General features: G+C 42.8%; 1 protein-coding gene across 3 annotated transcripts in view; it reads left to right on the top strand.

Moving 5' to 3' along the window:
• The window catches only part of TRPC5 (transient receptor potential cation channel subfamily C member 5), a 314,766-nt gene that overhangs the window by 238,294 nt on the left and 55,300 nt on the right, over nt 1-21,172 (top strand). For all 3 annotated transcript variants that reach the window (NM_012471.3, XM_017029774.2, XM_047442413.1), the window contains one exon: nt 9,367-9,562. In NM_012471.3, the coding sequence (NP_036603.1) occupies nt 9,367-9,562 (196 nt within the window). The remainder of the gene's footprint in view (nt 1-9,366; nt 9,563-21,172) is intronic.

The raw sequence follows: 21,172 nt of genomic DNA, 5'->3' as shown, positions 1-21,172 counted from the left end.
GTCTCCAAAAAAAAAAAAAAAAGAAAGAAAGAAAGAAAAAAGAGAAAAACAATCTTCTCCTCAGGCATACAATTTAAGGGAAACTCATTGTCCTTGCTGACAACCACATGACAGTACAGCTGGGGGTTTGAGTTTGGTATTGCATACTGGGAATACGTGGCCTTCACCTGCTGTCAAGAGAAGCAATTAGAAAGACATTATCATTCTGAAGACAAAGGACTTGTGAGAGAAAAAGAAGCTAATTTGATCCAGCCCTCATCTCCTGATGCCTCCTGAATATACCTGGCTGTTTCACAGGCCCCTCAAATACAGGATGTCCACAACTAAATTCCTTATTCCTTTTCTCCGTATCTTCACTTCCAACCTATATCCCCTTTAATTCCTCATCTCATTAAATGACACTAACCAGATTCCTAGGAGTCATATGGGACTCTTACACCTTCCCTCATGAAACACATCATCAAGTGTGTCACTCAGCCCTATCAGTTCTACTTCCGAAGTATCCCTTGAATACCTCTCTCTCTTTCTCTCTCTGTCTCTCTCTCATTCTCTCTCTCTCACATACACACACACACACACACACACACACACACACACACACACACACACTCATCCCACTGTCTTGGTTCAGGCCTAAATCATTTCTCCCAAGGACTGTGGCAACAGACTCTTGACTGGTCTCTCTGCCTCCAATCTGGTCTTCTCTCCAAACACTCTCCTACTTGCTGTGCGGAAGTTTCTTTCTAAATACCTGTTGCATCCTGGCTCCCACTGGCTTCATGCCTGCCAGAATATCTGAATCTTCTCCATAAAATCCTGCCCCTTTACCATAACACACAGGGCCTTGGTAATCTGACTCTTGCCTCTCCAGTCTTTTACTGCTCTCCTCCTTTGTCAACATTTTGCTGTTCTCCAACTACAGGAAAGTGTCTCAGCCCTTCAGACCTTTGTACATCGCATGCCATTACCTCTGAATGGAATACCCATCCTCACCTAGCCAGCCTGGCAAACTCATACCCATCTTTCCAACTGCTGCCAAAGGGCTACCTGCTCTAAAGCCTTTCTTATCCACTCTAACCCCACTCTCAGCTGCAGGCTTCTTCTAGAATGCATGTTTCCCATGGCATTCTAAACACATCTCCATTATGTTACATAAACTGTTGTATTTCAGACATCTGTGCCTCTCTCTCCCACCAGACTGAGACTCCCATCTTAGTAAGCTTTGCATCTGCCATAGAGGGGCCTAAGATATAAAGGTGCTCAACATGGCTACTGAACAATTGAGTGAAAAGACAAAGATGACGTCCAAAAGCAATCCTATCTTTTTAAGCTTTTTATTTGGAGATAATTGTAGTTACATTGTAATCGGAAGAAATAATAGAGAAAGAAATCTGTAAATCCTTCACCCATTTTTCCCAGGCATAACATCTTGCATAGCTGTAGTACATTATCACAACCAGGAAATCAACACTGATAAAATCCAGTGGCCTCATTCAGATTTCACCAGTTTTATGTGCAAGCCATTTGCAGCAACATACATGGGCCTAAGAGTAATCTTGTCTTTAATTATAGATAATCTACTTCTGCTTCTGCCCACCCTGCCCCCCCAGGATGACTGGAGTATCTGGCCAACTCTGTCACTCTACTGATCCACTTTGAGCTTGCTTTCAGCAAAAACCCTTGGCCTTTCTCCTACCTCTCTCATCCTGTACTTGGGCACTTGGCCCAAGAGCAAAGCTCTACATTGATCCCTATATATTTCATCTTATTAGTTCCAGCCCCTTGCTCCAAGGTGTTGAAGTCTTTCTGAGTCTTTATCCTGTCATCCAGTTTATTAGCTTTCCCTCTAGTCTTGTGTCATCTGAAGATCTAAGAAGCATGCCATCGATTTCCATCCAAAGCGTTGAAAAAACTGTCAGGCAGGCTTGGTATTTGCTGGGTGGAATATTGGGCAGCTATTAAAATGATACACATGAAGACTCTGTATATACATAAAAAAGTTTCTAAACCCAAAATGTGTAAATTTTTAAAAATTACAGAAAGTGGGCTGGGCGCTGTGGCTCATGCCTGTAATCCCAGCACTTTGGGAGGCTAAACCGGGCAGATCACTTGAGGTCAGGAGTTCGAGGCCAGCCTGGCCAACATGAGGAAACCCCGTCTCTACTAAAAATACAAAAATCAGCCAGGTGTGGTGGTGGGCACCTGTAATCCCAGCTACTTGGGAGGCTGGGGCAGGAGAATCGCTTGAACCCGGGAGCCAGAGACTGCAGTGAGCCAAGATGGCTCCATTTCACTCCAGCCTGGGCAACAGAGCGAGACTCCATCTAAAATATACATATATATATATATACATATATATATAAAATATATATATATACACACATACATATATACACACACACATAGATAGATAGATAGATAGATAGATAGATAGATAGATAGAGCTATAGATAGATCAATAGATCAATCCCAGGCTGGGCGTGGTGTCTCATGCCTGTAATCTCAACACCTTGGGAGGCCGAGGCAGGTGGATCACCTAAGGTAAGGAGTTTGAGACCAGCCTGGCCAACATGGCGAAATCCCGTCTCTATTAAAAATACAAAAATTAGCCAGGCATGGTGGCATGAACCTGTAATCCCAGCTACTCAGGAGGCTGGGGCAGGAGAATCACTTGAACCCGGGAAGTGGAGATTGCAGTGAGCTGAGATTGTGCCATTGCACTCCAGCCTGGGCATCGCATGGAGACTCTGTCTCAAGAACAAACAAACAAACACCAGAGATTGTATAAACTATGATTGCAACTATGTACAATTAGACATTCAAATGAATAATAATCTATAAAGACAAAGGAATGTAAAATAACAAGGTGGAACGTTTAATAATAATAATGAAAATAATCAATATTTACTGCGTGCTAGGAACAGGCACTATTACAAATCAGCTTTTCGTGAATTAACTCATGTAATCCTCACTGCCATGCTATCAGGTAGACAGTGTTGTTATTATCCATTTTACAGATAGGGAAACTAGAGTACAACGCAGTTAATCAGGCTGTCCCGAGTTGCATAGATGGTAAGTAGCAAAGACAGGATTTCAATCTAGGCATACAAGCTCCAGTCTGTACTTTTACCTAGGGATACAGGTGTAAGACTGGTTTTGTAAAGGTACGTAAGATTTGTTGTATACAGCTGCAATAATCATGAACACACGAAAAGCGAAAAAGGACAGAGCCATGACCTAGCAGGCCACTGTGACCTCCTTCAAGGCTATTACCATTCATTTGCAGCTACTTCTACTTAATCAGTGGTGATTTCTCCACCCATCATTCAGCCAATATTTTCCTATCTTGTTAACATGGATACACACGTAGTTCCCATCAAACACTCTTCTTTTTGTTCTGGTCAGGTCATAAAGGTTCTTATTGGTTATCTCTGGCTTTTCCTCCTAATTCCAGTCCATATCCTTCCTGATGCTATTATCACAGGATGCTGCTACTCGTTTGTACTTTTCTTGGTTATGTGTTTCTCCTGTCATCTTTTATAGACTCCTTCAATAAACATTTCTTCAACAATTCCTATGTACCAGGCAATGAGGATACCAAGGAAGATGGAATCCTTATCTTTAAGAAGTTCATAGTCTAATGGGGAACGCAAATGAACAATTAGAATAGCTGCTATTATTAATGCTTACCATATGCAAAGTACTTTAAAGTGCTGAGCACTTTACATGCAGTATCTTAGGTGATACAGTTATAAGGCTATGTGTGTGGGCTTCAGAGTCAAAAGAGCTGGGTACAAACTCTACCTCTGATACTGCCTGCCTGTGTGACCACTCTGTGCCTCAGTATCTCATCTGAAAAATAGAAGAACAATAGTCTCTACTTTATAGACGTATAGCCAAATATAATATAGTCAACCCTTCATATCTATGTCTTTTGCATCCATGGATTCAATCATCCGTGGATCAAAAATATTTTTTAAAAAATGAATGGTTGCATCTGTACTGAATATGTACAGACTTTTTTTCCTGTCATTATTCTCTAAATAATACAATATAGCATTTACATGCTATAAATATAAATATAGCCATTTACATGGCATTCTCATTGTATTAGCTATCATAAGTAATCTAGAGATGATATAAAGTATATGGAATGGGCCAGGCATGGTGGTTCATGCCTGTAATTCCAACACTTTGGGAGGCTGAAGCAGGAGGATCACTTGAGGCTAGGAGTTCAAGACAAGCATGGGCAATATAGCAAGACACCTGTCTCTCCAAAAATTGTTCTTTTGTTTTTGTTTTTGTTTTTGTTTGAGACGGAGTCTCGCTCTGTCACCCAGGCTGCAGTGCAGTGGCACGATCTCGGCTCACTGCAAGCTCCACCTCCCGGGTTCACACCATTCTCCTGCCTCAACCTCCCGAGTAGCTGGGACTACAGGCGCCCGCCACCATGCCCGGCTAATTTTTTGTATTTTTAGTAGAGATGGGGTTTCACCGTGTTAGCCAGGATGGTCTCGATCTCCTGACCTCGTGATCCACCCAACTTGGCCTCCCAAAGTGCTGGGATTGTAGGTGTGAGCCACCGCATTTTGAAAAAAATTAGCTGGGTGTGGTGATGCATGCCTATAGTCCTACCTACTCAGGAGACTGAGGCAGGAGGGTCACTTGAGCCCAGGAGTTCAAAACTGCAGCGAGCAATAATTGTGCCACCACACTCCAGCCTGGACAACAGAGTGAGATATTTTCTCTAAAAATAAATAAATAAATAAATATAAAAATAAAAATGAAAAAGTATATGGGAGGATATGTGCTTACGTTATACATAAACACTATGCCATTTTATATAAGGAACTTGAGCACCCATGGATTTGGGTATCTGTAGGAGGTCCTGGAACCAACCCTTTGCAGATATCGAGGGACAACTGTATATGCAAAGCACTTAGCACAATGCTTGGCATATAGTAAGAGCACAATAAATGTTAGCAATTAGTATTTATCTTACCAAGAATCATTTTTGAGATGAGGAAAACTTGAAGTTGAAAGAGGCTATGTAACTTTCCCAATGTCATTTAATAAATGGCGGGGTCTAAAGTTCTCGCTTAGGCACTCTCCTCTATTGCCTCTACAGTGTGATTTGTGCATTTATGGAACAAGGCTTGGGTGCTATGGGAGCAAAAAAGAGGAGCATCTAACCCAGCCTTGTAGGAAAGGAGTTGGGGCAGGCTTCTAGAGGAGGTGGGGCTTCAACTGAGCCTCAAAGGTCAAACAAGAATTAGACAGAAAAGGAGAAAGGAAAGAAGTAGAAGCTAGAGGTTGGGGCAAGGTGAGGGTATCCTATCCAGAGACAGGAGCTTGTCAAAGGCATAGTGGAATGAGAAATAGCAGGTCCAGGGAACTGTGGAATGGGTAAGGGTGATACCAAAGGGTCACCTGTGTTGGGATTACAGCTTTTGCTCCATTTAGGCTATCAACATACAACTTGGGAAATATAGGATGATGTCCCTGCTTTCTCCCAACAAGCCTTTAACTTCGAGTTCACCCTCTAGTTCTTCTTTGTTGGTCTGAATTAGGTCCAGAGAAGTAAATCCTCTCCATACTCTTTCTACTTTTTGAAAGGGTAATTCCTCATCTCAAAGATGAGACTTTCGGCAAATATTCAGAGGACTGAGTTCCCATCTCTGTTCTACTTTACCCCTCTTAGCTTTGTGATCTATTTGTGGATGGCTCCCAACATGTGCAAGTTCTCCCTTAACCACCTGTTATGGATTTGTCTTCTGTGCATTTAATATCAAGTTTTCTTGAATCTTTGTATCTTCAGTCTATGCCTCTTCTTGAGCTAGCAAGTTCCATATGTTTGTTTACTCTCTGCTAAATAAAAATGGACTAGTTGCTTTTTTCTAAAATAATCCCTCTTTAAAATTGAAAAGATAGTCCTTTGTTATTAAGATTCCATGGTTTGTCAACAAGTCTTTCCATCCCTGTGATGACTTTATTATAGACCCAGCACCAAGTAGTACACCCCCACCACCACCAGTGGTGGCCCTTTCCCTGTGTATTAAACCGAGTCTAGAAGCCACAGAACCTCCAGCAGATGTCTCACCAGAATATTCTTTTCCACCTCACATGACAGTCCCTCATTTTACCTGGGCATGCTTTTCAGCAGGCCAGCTTCTCCTGATGACCGGACCACACTGTAATATTTTGAGGAACATGTTGAGGACATTCTCACTACCAACCACCAAAACGGAGGAATGATCTTTCCTATCCCTCCCCATTTTCCCCTGTTGTACAATTTTATCCATAACGTTTCCCTGACTAGAATATCAGCAGAGTTGAAGGCAGATTTATTTATTTATTTATGCATGCATTCTTTGTTTGTTTATTATTTATTTATTTACTCATATGTAGAGAGAGACAGGGTCTAGCCCTGTCACCCAGGCTGGAGTGCAGTGGCATGATCATAGCTCACCGCAGCCTCAAATTCCTGGGCTCAAGCAATCCTCCCACCTCAGCCTCCCACGTAGCTGAGACTACAGGCACATGCCACCATACCTGGCTTTTTTTTTTTTTTTTTTTGATAACGGGGCTTTGTTATGTTGCTCAGGCTGGTCTCAAACTCGTGGGTTCAAGTAATCCTTCCAATATTGCCTCCCAAAGCTCTGGGATTATAGGCATGAGCCACCATGCCTGGCTGAGCGAAGATTTTAAATGCTCAGACTTTTACTTTTAGGGAACGTTTGTATCTGTCAGTGGAACAACTAGCAATAAACTCTATCCTCAAGCATAAGCCATTGCAATTTTAATTGTTGTAGGGGTAGAGGTGAAGGTAACATCTATTCAGGAGAAGCAACCAATTAACTAAGACTCTACCAACATATTGATTACATATTTGCCCTAGTTTGTGGCCTTATTGTCTGTCAGGAAATCAACAAACACTTACTGAATGCATTCTGTGTTCAAGGTCATTCAGCTTCCAGGGACTCTGGTTCCTCAGAATGACATTCCTACTCACTGCAGCTGCTCTTTAAAATTCTGAACTACAATCTGCCCTGGCTTCTGTTACCTAGCAGCTGTGCTAGCTGCTTGTGCTATTTACTGCTGGCCTCCTGCCTGCCTGATTTCTGGTATCTAATAGGCATCATCAGGTGTTGACTGTGCCCTCCTAGCAGGGGCCAGATTACTTAGCCCCATGTCTTCCTCATTTTTCAACCCTCTGCCTGGTTCTGCGATGCATTGTATTGCCTGGCCCTGGCTGGTAGAGTCTCCTGAAAATTTAGATCCTGTGATAGGTCTGACTTGCCATATTGTCTGGTTCTTGTGCCCTGGCCCCTGAACTCCAGACTCTCATCTTACTTTTGATTCTCAACTGCTTCACCAGCTGGCATTTACTTTCACCAAACAAAAAGCAAATTTATTCCTTTTAGGCTAGCTCTCTAGCAGCGTGATGCTGAAAAGATCATGGAATTTATCTATGATAATCAGAGAAGAGCCACTTAGCAAGTTGAGAAGGGCCATGTGCACATTGCCCAGGCAGCCCTGAAAAGGGCCCTTGAGAGTCAGGCCAGTGGAGAGCACAGCCTTAAACAAAATAAACTAGCCCTTTTTGTGCAGCCTACTGACTGCAAAATTGTCAATGGGATTGGAATCTTCTCCACTTTAATCTAATGATAACAGTAATAGTAATAGTTTTCATATATTCATTCATTTCTTCAATAAATGTCATTTAGTCCCTATTATGTGCCAGCTACCTAGCAGCTATGTCTCTGCCTCCATAGAGCTTACATTATAGTAGAGAGGGACGGAAAATAACCATTTAAACCAAAAATTACCTAATATAATTTTATGAAGCTTCAAGTGCTACAAAGAAAATTAAACAAGACAATAGGATAGAGAAAAACTGATGGAGCTACATTAGGTAGAGCAACCAAGAAAAGCCTCTCTGAAGAAGTGACATTTGAGCTGAGACCTTGATGATAAGAAGGCAGCTGTGTAAAGATCAGGGGGCAGAGCACTTTCAGACAGAGGGACTCCTTAAAGTACCTCTCACCCACCTCTAAAATGAACCGAAGAACAAATCCCTAAGACTCTCAAAATACATTGTGCTCATTAAGAACGACACATTTTGAGCACACTGAAAAATGCATCCATTCTTAAAGTAGCATTTCTTATGTTCTGCATGGTTTCCATAGGCTTGGGCAATGGCTAATCTCTGCCACCCACGAACTGGCTGCATTTTATTGCTGTATTCAGATTTCTGAATATAAAGCAAAAGAAACCCTAGACACCAAAAGGATATCATTGCAGTTACATGTTTGGATGTGAAGTCTAAGAGAGGAAATAATAATTTGAGAAGCCATCAATATAGTGGTTTTGGAAGGGCAGACAGACCTAGATTTGAGATCTGGCTCAAAACATACTAGTAAGGTGTCCTTGGGCAAGTCATTCAGTCTCTGAATCTCTGTTTCGTCATCAGTAACAATAAAATTTTACAAGGATCATAATGATAATGTATGTATGTAAAAGTACCTAACATGCTTATAAGTTCTCAATAATAGTTGAGTTCTCAAAAGCCTCAATAACAGTTGGTTAATATATCATTAACAATTATCTGTATAAAGTGTTAATTTGAGAATCCTCAAGCTCCTCCATGCAGTTTAGAGTTATCTGGGTCCTGTGAGAGCCACAAAAGAAGTATCAGAAATGGTAATTTGTTCTCATGTTCACTCAGCCAGCAAATGCCAGAACTGAGATCCTAACCCAGTGCAATCTAACCCAAGCACCATTCTCCTGCCTCAGCCTCCCGAGTAGCTGGGACTACAGGCGCCCGCCACCATGCCCGGCTAATTTTTTGTATTTTTAGTAGAGACGGGGTTTCACCGTATTAGCCAGGATGGTCTCGATCTCCTGACCTTGTGATCCACCCGCCTCGGCCTCCCAAAGTGCTGGGATTACAAGCGTGAGCCACCACTCCTGGCCTCAAGCACCATATTCTTAACCACTGCATGTATTGCCTCTGCATAATTAGAATGGTAAAAAAATAACATGGTCTGAAGACAAAAGACAAAGTTTGGTAGAGGAAATAGCTCTTGAAATAAGCCTTGAAAAATTTTAGGCTATGCATACACTGAGAAGAGGGAATGGTATTTCAGGTAGAAAAGCAAAGCATAAGACATAGAAGTGGAAACAAACAAACAAATGGACATGGATGGTCAGTCTGTGTTAGGGAAGAGCCCAAAATATGTGAGATCACCAGTTTATCTGTCACAGATCTGGCAGCCCCTTCGTTAAGCAGATCACCTTACATTTTCTCTCTCTTTTCTTGCTCTTCTTAAAGAATTAACTAACCTGCTCTTTGATCTCTTTTAGGCTCTTTGAGACTCTTCAGTCACTCTTCTGGTCTGTATTTGGCCTTTTAAATCTATATGTCACCAATGTGAAAGCCAGACACGAATTCACCGAGTTTGTAGGAGCTACCATGTTTGGAACATACAATGTCATCTCCCTGGTAGTGCTGCTGAACATGCTGATTGCTATGATGAACAACTCCTATCAGCTTATTGCCGTGAGTAGCTTTGCTTTACAAGCGTGCTTACTTTGGTTTCAGGTTGGGGCAACATCGGCATAGAGTTCATTAGAAGCTCAATGAAAGAGTTCGTCTGCCTCAATTAATTTACATTAGCTTTCCTAGTTGTTAGACTGAATTATTTCTTTCCAATGCAATTCAGGTTGGACTCTTAGTCTATAGACTCTTCATCATCTAAGTTATTCGAGTGAATAAGATTTTCTAGCTACTTATTGAAAATATTTCTAAATTTCAGAATCAATTTTCTTGCCTCAGTGGAAAACTCAGGGTTTGAGCACAATTTGGCTACAACGTGTCACCTCACTCATCTCCAGGGTTAATTCAGCTGATCTGGTTCTCTAGGCAAGAGAGCCCTATCTCCCTATTCACTACAAACATCTCCCTCTGAAAACTAAGAATCCCATTGACAAGGATGGTCTTCTGAGAGAGAGACAGAGAGGGGAGGGGGCTACGTTTTTTCCTATTTTAAAAAATAGAGATGGGCTCCTGATATGTTGCCCAGGCTGGTCTGAAACTCCTGGCCTCAAGTGATCCTCCCACCTCAGCCTCCCTAAGTGCTGGGATTACAGGCATCAGCCACTGCACCCAGCCAGTGGCTATTTTTTAATCAAGTATATATAAGTAACTGCACTCCATTGCAAGGCACTCCTAAGTACAGTCCATTGCTGAATTTTTTTGCACCATCATGTTACCATTTAGATCAGCAGTGTTTATTACCCTAGACTAGAAATAGTGAAAGTGTAGGATACAGGATCAATTTAGTCCCTGCCCTGGTTTTTTATGTCAAAGTAGATATCTAACCTTAGCTTATTTTATTTTAATCTGCATATAATTCCTAGAAATTGAGTTTTGGCAAAGGAGTCCTCATTACCTGAGGTCTGATTTAGTTGGGCATTAGTAAATTTGGATGTGTAGTTCTTACTATAATGCTAGATTACCCCCTCTGGATCAGTCTGTTGCTCAAAGTTTTTGCTGTAGCAGAGAAAGTACAAAATAAATAAACCCACGTCTTGTTTTCCTTTCTAGATGCTATTTCTCAGATTTGGTTTGCCACTGAGGAGTTATTTAGCCTATAGAAAAGAAGCTCAAATTACTTGTTACATATACATAGATATATATATGTATGTATATGTGTATGTGCATATATATATATGCACACACACACACACATACCCATACATGCACATTGTCCATGTCTTAAATGTTATTGTTAATAGTGAACGTCTGTGATCCATTTCCACTAAGGACAGAACCAAAAAGGAATGGAGTAGGAGGCTTTTGAGTTACCTATTTGGGAGAAATTCCTAACTATAAATGGCAATGAAATAAATATATTCTCACAGGTGGGTCTATAGAATTTCTGTTATTGGAGAGTTTAAAAAATTAGGATATAAAATTGTCTGCTAGGATAGTTTAGATATTAGGTATCTAGGTGGTAGAGAAGGGAGAGGAGTGTAGTGGAAAAAAAGATTTGAAGTTAATAAACCAGGGACTCTAATCATGGTTCTGTGGTTTATAACTGCATGTCTTTAGTAACTTACTTTTCCCTCTTGAGCCTCAATGTCATCATCCAAAAGTGAGGGTATTGAAATCAATGGTTTTTAATATCCTTGCTAGCTCTGACATCCTATGTGTCCGGGTGCCTACAGATTAACAAGATAGGCTCACAAGGTCCTTTCTAGCTCTGAAATTCTGTTTTTCTGTTGCATTTGAAATTCAATATAGTTCAGTTCCATTCACTCATTCCCCCTCATTCAAACAACTAGGCCAAGAACTCTAAAATGATTTATGTTCACTCCTAGTCTATCTCTATAAGGGGGCAGGGGCAGGCATGGAATCTCAGGAATTGACTTTTCCATCCCCTCTGCTTGGCATTCTATCCTTCACCCCTGCCAAAGATGGCAATATTCATGCAAAGGCATTTGTAATTTTCTCACTGGGTGTCTGATAGCTGATTTTTCCTTGTGACAGTAGAAAAGGGAGAGATTTTCTTGTCACCTAATGCAGGGCTGTGGTCCTTCTCACTGAGCTCAGTGACATTTTCTAGGAAGGGCGAAAATAATCAACTCCAGCTCCCATCACCACCTGCTGGTAGTAAGTTTTGTTTTAATGCCACCTACTGCTGCACCCAAAGAAAACACATTGGCTTGGGAGGGAGCCAACGGTAGATGGCCTAAATGGAGTCTATACCATCTCATAAATCTGAAGTCATGGCCAACCATTCTGAATAATATCTTTACTGCTTTTGGATCCCACGGGAGTGTGTTTTTACCATTTGGAAATGGATCCAGTGGGATCATGATATTGGACAACCTGATTCCAAAAATACCTGGATCTGCTTAAGTGGTAAGGGCCAGAAAGTAGATTTAATTTCATTTGCAACATCTCTGCTTCAGTACTGAATGTAATTTTTACAAGGTCCTTGATATAGGGAGAAAGGTTACAGAAAGGGAAACCACTGAAGACAAATTTCTCCTATTTTAAAAGGTATCACAGGCTGATTCAGTCTAGGTAGGGACTGAGTTGTCAACATGCCTCACTGTGAATCTGTTTTGTGTACATTCTAGGACAGTCCTCAAGAACATCAGGTAATACCAATCCCTTGAAGGGTTAAGCTCTTTATCAATGTTCCATGCAGGATTCAGAGATGCTGGTGATGTGAATATATGGCTCTGTAGCAATTTGTATTTCCATGTCATAGGAGGCTCCACCTCAGTAGTGTATAGAGTTATTCTTAAGATACAGTGAAGCAGGAATCACTCCAGGCCTGTGCTCTGTGGTCCCAGCATCAGCAGGTGAAGCTGGCCATATTGTATATTATTGTTATTGACAATTAGCAGTGATTTACTTCTCCTTTTATTCTTATATCTCCCTCAATCTCCTTATTACTCTCAATGACACTTTTTAAAATACATCTACCTTGTCACTGCTGTCCCTGATGTATAGGCACAAGCTCCATCAACCAAAGCTGCCCTCAGTGCCATTTTAATCAGATTCATCCGTTAAAAAATATTAGGTGGAAGAGATAAGATCAATCCCACAAAGTTCATTACCTTAGGCCCTATTCCTACCCCCTACCCACCCACAATGGCCATCTCTGTTGCCTGAGATTAGTCCTCCCAAAACATAGTGCTCATAATGGTCTGTGATAAAGCCTCATTCAGCAAGTTAGTAAGAACCCTTGGTTTCTTTGGCTGCTATGGAGTATTTGCTTTAGTGCTGAAAATAAGTAAACAGCACTTGCTTCACTGAGCCACAGCTGCTGGATGGCTTGGGGAGAGTCCAAATATACATAATTGGTTGTCTCCCTTAGGGTGGCAGCATTTGGAGGCCCAGATGATGAATGGACTCTTCCACTGCAGAACACATTCATGCAAATGACGACATTCTTCCAAACAAACCTGGCAACACAAGATAGCAGGCAAGACTAGAGAGGGCTGTTGCATACCATCTAAGTGCCAAGAAGGGCAGGTGGTCTCCCCACCCACCCCCAGTCATCTAGGACCAACCTCAGATTCTCAAAGCAGAGACTTTCAAAGCAGAGACTCTCAAAGCAGCACTTCACACACAATACCATGATTTTAACTCTCTATCAGCAGGACTGATAACCAACTGCTATGCACTGATATGGCTACTCAACTGTTAAAATATTGAAACACTTCCATACCAGTTGGTAAATAGGTGCCACTCCAGCTGTTCCTTCTATGACATACCCAGACCTCCCGACAATCCAGCAAGTAAAGGGTAACATTTGGAACAGCTGCTAGAATCTAGGACCCTGCTCCAGCACCAAAACTGGCCTACATTTGGATTGATTGGTTTTTTAAACAGTCTGAATATCACTATAGTAGGCAAAACCCTAAAATGCTCCCCCTAGATTCCCCACTCTAATACTCAAGACTATTAATATGAAGAGATACCACACTTGTGATTGTGTTGTATTATGTGGCAAAAGGGATTCTGCAGATGTAATGAAGGTTAGTATTCAGAGAGATTATCCAGGTAGGCCTAATCTAATCACATGAGTCTTAGAAGCACTGTTTTCTCCAACCGGTAGCAGAAGAGAATGTCAGTGTATTAGTCTGTTCTCAGTCTGCTATGAAGAAATACCTGAGACTCAGTCATTTATAAAGAAAAGAGTTTTAATTGACTCACAGTTCCACATGGCTGGGGATGCTTCATTAATCTTACAATCATGGCAGAAGGAAAAGCACGCAGGTCTTACATGGTGGCAGGTGAGAGAGAGTGAGAGGGAAGGGGGAAGAGCCCCTTATAAAACTGTCAGATCTCATGAGAACTCACTATCATGAAAGCAGCATAGGGGAACTGCCCCCATGATCTAATCACCCCCCAGGAGGTCCCTCCCCTAATATATGAGGATTGTAATTTGGATTGTAACTCAAGATGAGATTTTGGGTGGGGACACAGTCAAACCATATCATTCCATCCCTGGCCCCTCCCAAATCTCATGACCTTACATTTTTAAAACACAATCATGCCTTTCCAACAGTCCCTCAAAGTCTTAACTAATTCCAGTATTAACCCAAAAGTCTAAGTCCAAAGTTTCATCTGAGACAAGGCAAGTCCCTTCTGCCTAAGAGCTTGTAAAATAAAAAACAAGTTAGTTACTGCCTAGATACAATGGGGGTACAGGCATTGGGTAAATACACCCATTCCAAATTGGAGAAATTGGCCAAAACAAAGGGGCTACAGGCTCCATGCAAGTCCCAAATCCACTAGGGCGGTCATTAAACCTTGAAGTTTCAAAATGATCTCCTTTGACTCCATGTCTCACATCCAGGTTACAATGATGCAAGTGGTGGGCTCCCATTGCCTTGGGCAGCTCCACTTCTGTGGCTTTGCAGGGTACAGCCCCCCATCCTGGCTGCTTTCACAGGCTGGTGTCGAGTGTCTGTGGCTTCACCAGGTACATGGTGCAAGCTGTCAGTGGATTTACCATTCTGGGGTCTGGAGGACAGTGGCCTATTCTCATGGCTCTACTAGGCAGTGCCCCAGTGGGGACTGTGTGGGGACTCCCACCCCACATTTCCCTTCTGCACTGCCCTAGCAGAGGATCTCCATGAGGGCTCTGCCCCTGCAGCACACCTCTGCCTGGACATTCAGGCATTTCCATGCATCATCTGAAATCTAGGTGGAGGTTCCCAAACCTCAGTTCTTGTCTTCTGCCCACCCACAGGACCAACACCACATGGAAGCTGCCAAGGGTTGGGGCTTGTACCCTCTAAAGCCACAGCCCAAGCTGTACCTGGGCACCTTTTAGCCATGGCTAGATCGGCTGGAAAACAGGGCACCAAGTCCCTAGGCTGCATACAGCAAGGTGGTCCCTGGGCCTAGCCCAGGAAACCATTTTTCCCTCCTAGGCCTCTGGGCCCGTGATGGGAGGGGCTTCTGTGAAGGTCTCTGACATGCCCTGGAGACATTTTCCCCATTATCTTAGTGATTAACATTCACCTCCTCATTACTTATGCAAATTTATCCAGCTGGCTTGAATTTCTCCCCAGAAAATAGGTTTTTCTTTTCTATCACATTTTCAGGCTGCAAATTTTCCCAACTTTTTTTTTTTTTTTTTTTTTTTTTGAGACAGAGTCTCATACTGTCGCCCGGGCCGGAGTGCAGTGGTGTGATCTCAGCTCACTGCAACCTCTTCCTCCTGGGTTCAACCAATTCTCCTACCTCAGCCTCCTGAGTAGCTGGGATTACAGGCACCTGCCACCACACCTGGCTAATTTTTGTATTTTTAGTAGAGATGGGGTTTCACTATGTTGGCCAGGCTGGTCTCGAATGCCTGACCTCGTGATCCACCCACCTTGGCCTCCCAAAGTGCTGGGATTACAGGCATGAGCCACCATGCCCAGCTCAAACTTTTATGCTCTGCTTCCTACTGAATGCTTTGCTGCTTTGAAATTTCTTCTGCTGGATACCCTAAATCATCTCTCTCAAGTTCAAAGTTCCACAGATCTCTAGGGCAGGGGCAAAATGCCACCAAGTGTCTTTGCTAAAGCAAACCAAGAGTCATTTTTATTCCAGTTCCCAGTAAGTTCCTCACCTCAGCCTGGACTTCATTGTCCATATCACTATCAGCATTTTGGTCAAAGCCATTCAACACGTCTCTAGGACGTTCCAAACTCTCCCATATTCTCCTCTCTTCTGAGCCCTCCAAGTCTTTAGGAAGTTCCAAATTTTCCCACATTTTCCTTCTTCTTCTGAGCCCTCCAAACTGTTCCAACCTCTGCCCATTGCCCAGTTCCAAAGCTGCTTCCCCATTCTCAGGTATCTTTACAGCAGTGCCCCACTCTCGGTATGAATTTACTATATTAGTCTGTTCTCACGCTGCTATGAAGAAATACCCAAGACTGGGTAATTTATAAGGAAAAGAGGTTTAATTGACTCACAGTTCTGCATGGCTGGGAGGCCTCAGGAAACTTACAATCATGGTGGAAGCCACCTCTTCACAGGGCAGCAGGAGAGAGAATGAGTGCCAACAGGGGAAATACCAGATGCTTATAAAACCATCAGATCTCATGAGAACTCATTCACTATAATGAGAACAGCATGGGGAAAACAACCCCCATGATTCAATTACCTCCCGCTGGATCCCTCCCTGACACATGGGGATTATGGGGATTATAATTCAATATGAGATTTGGGTGGGGACACAGCCAAACCATATCAGTAAGTGATCTGAAGCACAAGGAAGATTTGATGTGCATTGCTGGCTTGAAGATGGAGCGAGACAAGTAGTAAGAAATTCAGGCAGTGTGCAGGAGAAGAAAGGGAGCCCAAGCTCTCACTATAGAAATGAATTCTATAAACAACATAAATGAACTTGGAAGCAGATTCTTCTCCAGAGCCTCCAGATAAGAGCTCAGCCACATTGACACCTTAACTTCAGCCTTGTGAAGGCCAGTATGACTGGAGTGGAGTAACCAAGGGAGGAGAGGGAAGTAGGAGATGGAGTCAGAGAGGTAATGGGAGTGAGTGACAGATCACTTAGGGCCTCATGGACCGTTGGAAGGATTTGGGCTTCTATTCTAAGCATGATAGGGAGCCATGGGAGGGTTTTGAGCAGAAGAGGTACATGATCTAACTTGTATTTTAGTAAGAGTGCTGTGTCTGATTGGGAATAGACTAGAGTGGGATAGGGGCAAATACAGAGAGACCAATTATGAGACCATTGCACTAACCCAGACAAAAGCTGATGGTGGTTTTGGCCAGGTTGGTCATGATGGCAGTGATGAGAAGTGGTCAGATTCTGTATATATTTTGAACTAGATCAGATGTGAAGTGTGAGCAAAAGACAGTAGTGAAGAATGTCATCCAGGTTTTTTGGTCTGAGTAACTGGCAGGGTGGAGTTGTCCATTACTGAGATGGGGAAGAGTAGGAAAGGAGCAGGCCTGGTCGGGGAGGGAGGTGAAACAGAGATCCAGAGTTGACTTTTAGACATGTGGAATTGGAGATGCCTATTAGACATCCAGGTAGAGGCATTGGGTGGTCTACAGGTCTAGAGGAGAGGTCCAGGCTGGCAATAGAGATTTGAGAGTTACCAGCATACGCATAGTATCTAAAGCTATGGAACTAGATGAGATCACTAAGGAGTGAGTGTGGAGAGAAAAGAAAAGAGATCTGAAAATGAAGTCTGGGGCACTCCAATATTTAGAGGCTGGAAATGTGAGGATGGATTATCCAAAGAGACTGAGAAAGAACAGCCAGAGGGATGGGAGAAAAATCAAGACAATGTGCTATATTATAATACTATATTATTCCCAATATGCTAATAAGTCATATGCTAGTAAGTGGTACTGTCTGGATTTAAATTGAGGTAGTCTAACCCCAAGACCCACACACAGAACCTCTACACTATCATGTTGACACTTACCTTGAAGGCAAGAAGCACCTGATATGCACTTTCACTACAAGGGCCCTAACAGACCTTCTTTCCTTTCCTTATCTTATCACAACTCTGAACTGTTCAGTCTCCTTGTCCTATCAGTTCCAGTGATAAAAGGGCTCATTATAATCCTGAGGGGACGAAGAGCCCAATATCTGCCCTAATTTCTTCCAGGATAAGAATCACTGATGCTTCATCAACATACCCATTGTCTGTGTCTCAGCTCCCAAGAGCCATCTCTTAAGAAAACAGAACAAAACATAAACCCTGCCACCTTTCACTTCCACTAAACAGTCCAAACCATGGAAGCTATAGTAAGTCTAAGGAATAGTATAATCTCTATTCAGGTGAAGGAGTTGCTTAATTCAAGCTGTAGGCATATCATGACATTGGAGCAAAGCCATTTCAAATTTTAATAACTGTCTCTTCCCTTTGGGATGCCCTCAGGCAATCTACGTATTTTTCTCATCTCAGCTTGTGATTTTCCCTGTTGCCAAACCATTGTCTGGAATCTGATCAAGGGTTGCTACGTTTCACTGAGGAGAAAGAAAACATTCAGAACTATGGAGGACATTTTAATAGTGCCCTCCTCCCTTGGGTAATGTGGAATCTATGAACACCTGCTGATAATCTCATTTCAGACAACAATTTACATTTTCTGGTAGATTCTGTAAGAGATACAAGAGCTAGGTGCTGTAAGTTGTATAAAGGGAAAGACACAGGTGATACCATTAGGAAGCTTGTAGTCTAGTTTAGAGGGAAAAGTCTGACATGAGTAAAACAATAGCACTATTATCACAAGAATAGTAGCAGTGATTACAGACAGCATTGGCTCAAGAGTAGTCAGACTACCTGGATTTGAAACCTGGATAGCCATTTACTGTGGTTTTCGGCAACTTGACCTCTTTCTGCCTCATTTGACTTCTCTGTAAAATAGGGAAGATAACTAGGCTTTTCATTTGCTGCTTACTCTCAGGTCTATTCCCTGCCTGTTTCTTGTATCAAGAAAACTACATTCCTCACAATCCTTTGCCCTTTGGTGTCTGAGCAGATTCAACCAATCAGATGGTAGGAGGAAGGGAGAAGCTAGACTATTTCTTCCCCATCCCATCCTCACTTATTTTGGTGCCCCCAGCAGCAGCTGTAGCTCCTCTGGGGCTCAACTCCAAATTCCGCCAGCCATCTCCTCCCTACTTGGCCCCAGCTTTTGCAGCGACTCCCCGTCTTGGCTCAAGCTCCAGCCAGAGTGCACTAGTCTTGGATCTAAGAACACTACCTCTTCCTGTTGACCCTCGAACTCCAAGGATAAAAGGGGCTTCCTGTTGTTGCTAATCTCTAAGTTGTCTCACTATTCCCTTTTTAACTTGTCAGATCTTACATCATCTGTGTAACCAATCCCCGCATTAAATCTAGATTTGAAAGTCCTAGAGTGGGCCGGGTGCAGTGGCTCATGCCTGTAATCTCAGCACTTTGTGAGGCTGAGGTAGGTGGATCACTTGAGACCAGGAATTCAAGTTTGAGATGAGCCTGGCCAACATGGTGAAACCCCGTCTCTACAAAAAATACAAAAATGAGCTGGGTATGGTGGTGCGTACCTGTAGTCCCAGCTACTCGGGAGACTGAGGCACAAGAATCGCTGGAACCCAGGAGGTGGAGGTTGCAGTGAGCTGAGATCATGCCACTGCATTCCAGCCTGAGTGACAGAGCAAGACTGTCGAAGAAAGAAAGAAAGAAAGAGAGAGAGAGAGAGAGAGAGAGAGAAAGAAAGAAGAAAGAAAGAAAGAAAGAAAGAAAGAAAGAAAGAAAGAAAGAAAGAAAGAAAGAAAGAAAGAAAGAAAGAAAGGAAGGAAGGAAGGAAGGAAAAGAAAGAAAAGAAAGAAAGAGAAAATGAAAGAAAGTCCTAGAGTGATTTCTGTTTTCCTGGCTGTACCCCAACCAACACGTATCTGATTGAATCATTGTGAGGTACGTTTAGGAAGTACAAATTGAACTGAGCCTTGAAGAATTGGTCAAATTTGGAAAGACAGAAAATTGAGGACGTGGTATCAGATTTCATTTTTGGCAAGGAAATAGCTTGCACACCAGCGGGGATTGGCCTAGTGTTTATTAAAGGCGGTAACACTGTAAGGATTGGCTTCAGTCTTCTCTGCCTACCATACTTTATTCCCCAGGAAACTATCTTTTCAACAGGCAGTGAAGTCCCCCCTGCCCCAACAATGAGGAGAAGCAAAAACAGTAGTCGCATCTTTAGGAACTGCATGACAAAGTGCAGAGCCTACCTTTAGAAAAATCATACAAGGAGATGAGGTGTGTTTGTGTGTATTCCCACATCCCAACTCTGGGTCCTCACATTGCTGTCTACCTGGCTCAGCACAGAACCCTAGACCGCCTGACCTGGAAAAGCCCCAGGCCCCTCCTCTAGGCCCAAACTGAGCTCTTTCTCATTCACTAAGGCTTAAAGAAGTCAGTAAATATGAATGTAAGAAATAATAATATCTAGCATATAGACAAGCCTTTATTAAATGCCAGCACTAAGTGCTTTCTATTACTATTATAACTACTATTAATAACTACCATTTATTAAGCATTTATGTCCCAAACACTATACACAACACTTTGTACCTATTATCTCATTAAATTCTCACATCAGCTTTATAAGGTAGGTACTGTTATTGACTACATTCTATGGGTAAGGAAACTGAGGCACAGAGATAAAAGTGACTCGCCCAAGGGTACACATTTTTTTTTTTTTTTTTTTTTGAGACAGGGTCTTGCTCTGTTACCCAGGCTGGAATGCAGTGGCACAATCTCAGCTCTCTGAAACCTCCACTTCCCATCTCATGTAATCCTCCAGCCTCAGCTTTCCGAGTAGCTGGGACCACAGGTGCAAGCCACCATGCCCAGCTCATTTTTGTATTTTTTGTAGAGATGGCGTTTCATCATGTTGTGCAGGCTGATCTCGAACTCCTGAGCTCAAGCGATCCGACCTCCCCATCCTCCCAAAGTGCTAGGATTACAGGCATGAGCCACCACTCCCTGCCAAGGGCATACTCTTAATAAGGTCTGTCCGACCTGAAGTAACAAAGATATCTCACTTCCTCTTTTCCTGCCAGCATCTCAAGCCCCCAGGCCCTGATACACAAACCACACCGGACCCCTGCCCAACCTCAGACTTCCCTGGCTTCATGCTTCCCCCTGGTTGACTAACTTGCTGACTGTTCCCTAGGTCCTAACCAGAAGGATCCTTTAAGGAGCCTTTCCCTTGGTTCTGGACACAAAGCGACTTATTTCCTAAGCTGAGATCCCCTATCTCTACCCCCAACACACGCCAACTAGCTCTCTTTTTCTTCTTTAGTGTGTCCAGCAGACTTCACACAACCAGTTTCTTCTCAACTCTGCCCCTAATACTTCCAGCCTCCCCAAATGAGCAAGCAGACAACCACAGCCACAGGGAGTAAACGGGTCAGCACTACCAAGTTCGTTTGTATGACAAGAATTCCTCATTGAATGAACACATCCTGCCTTGAGACATCTCAGCCTTGTTCTTTGCCAGACAGCTCTTTGCATGCCTAAAGCCTCTCTTGACATTATACTCACACCAGTAAATGGACTATATAATATCCATCTTCAGGGAAGGAGGGAGGAGCATTGTCTCTGCAAACGCTGCAGGGGGTACCAA

Source organism: Homo sapiens, chromosome X (assembly GCF_000001405.40).
Source record: "Homo sapiens chromosome X, GRCh38.p14 Primary Assembly".
In the NCBI taxonomy this organism is placed as follows: Eukaryota; Metazoa; Chordata; class Mammalia; order Primates; family Hominidae; genus Homo; species Homo sapiens.
This window is presented reverse-complemented; position numbering and strand designations above follow the sequence as displayed.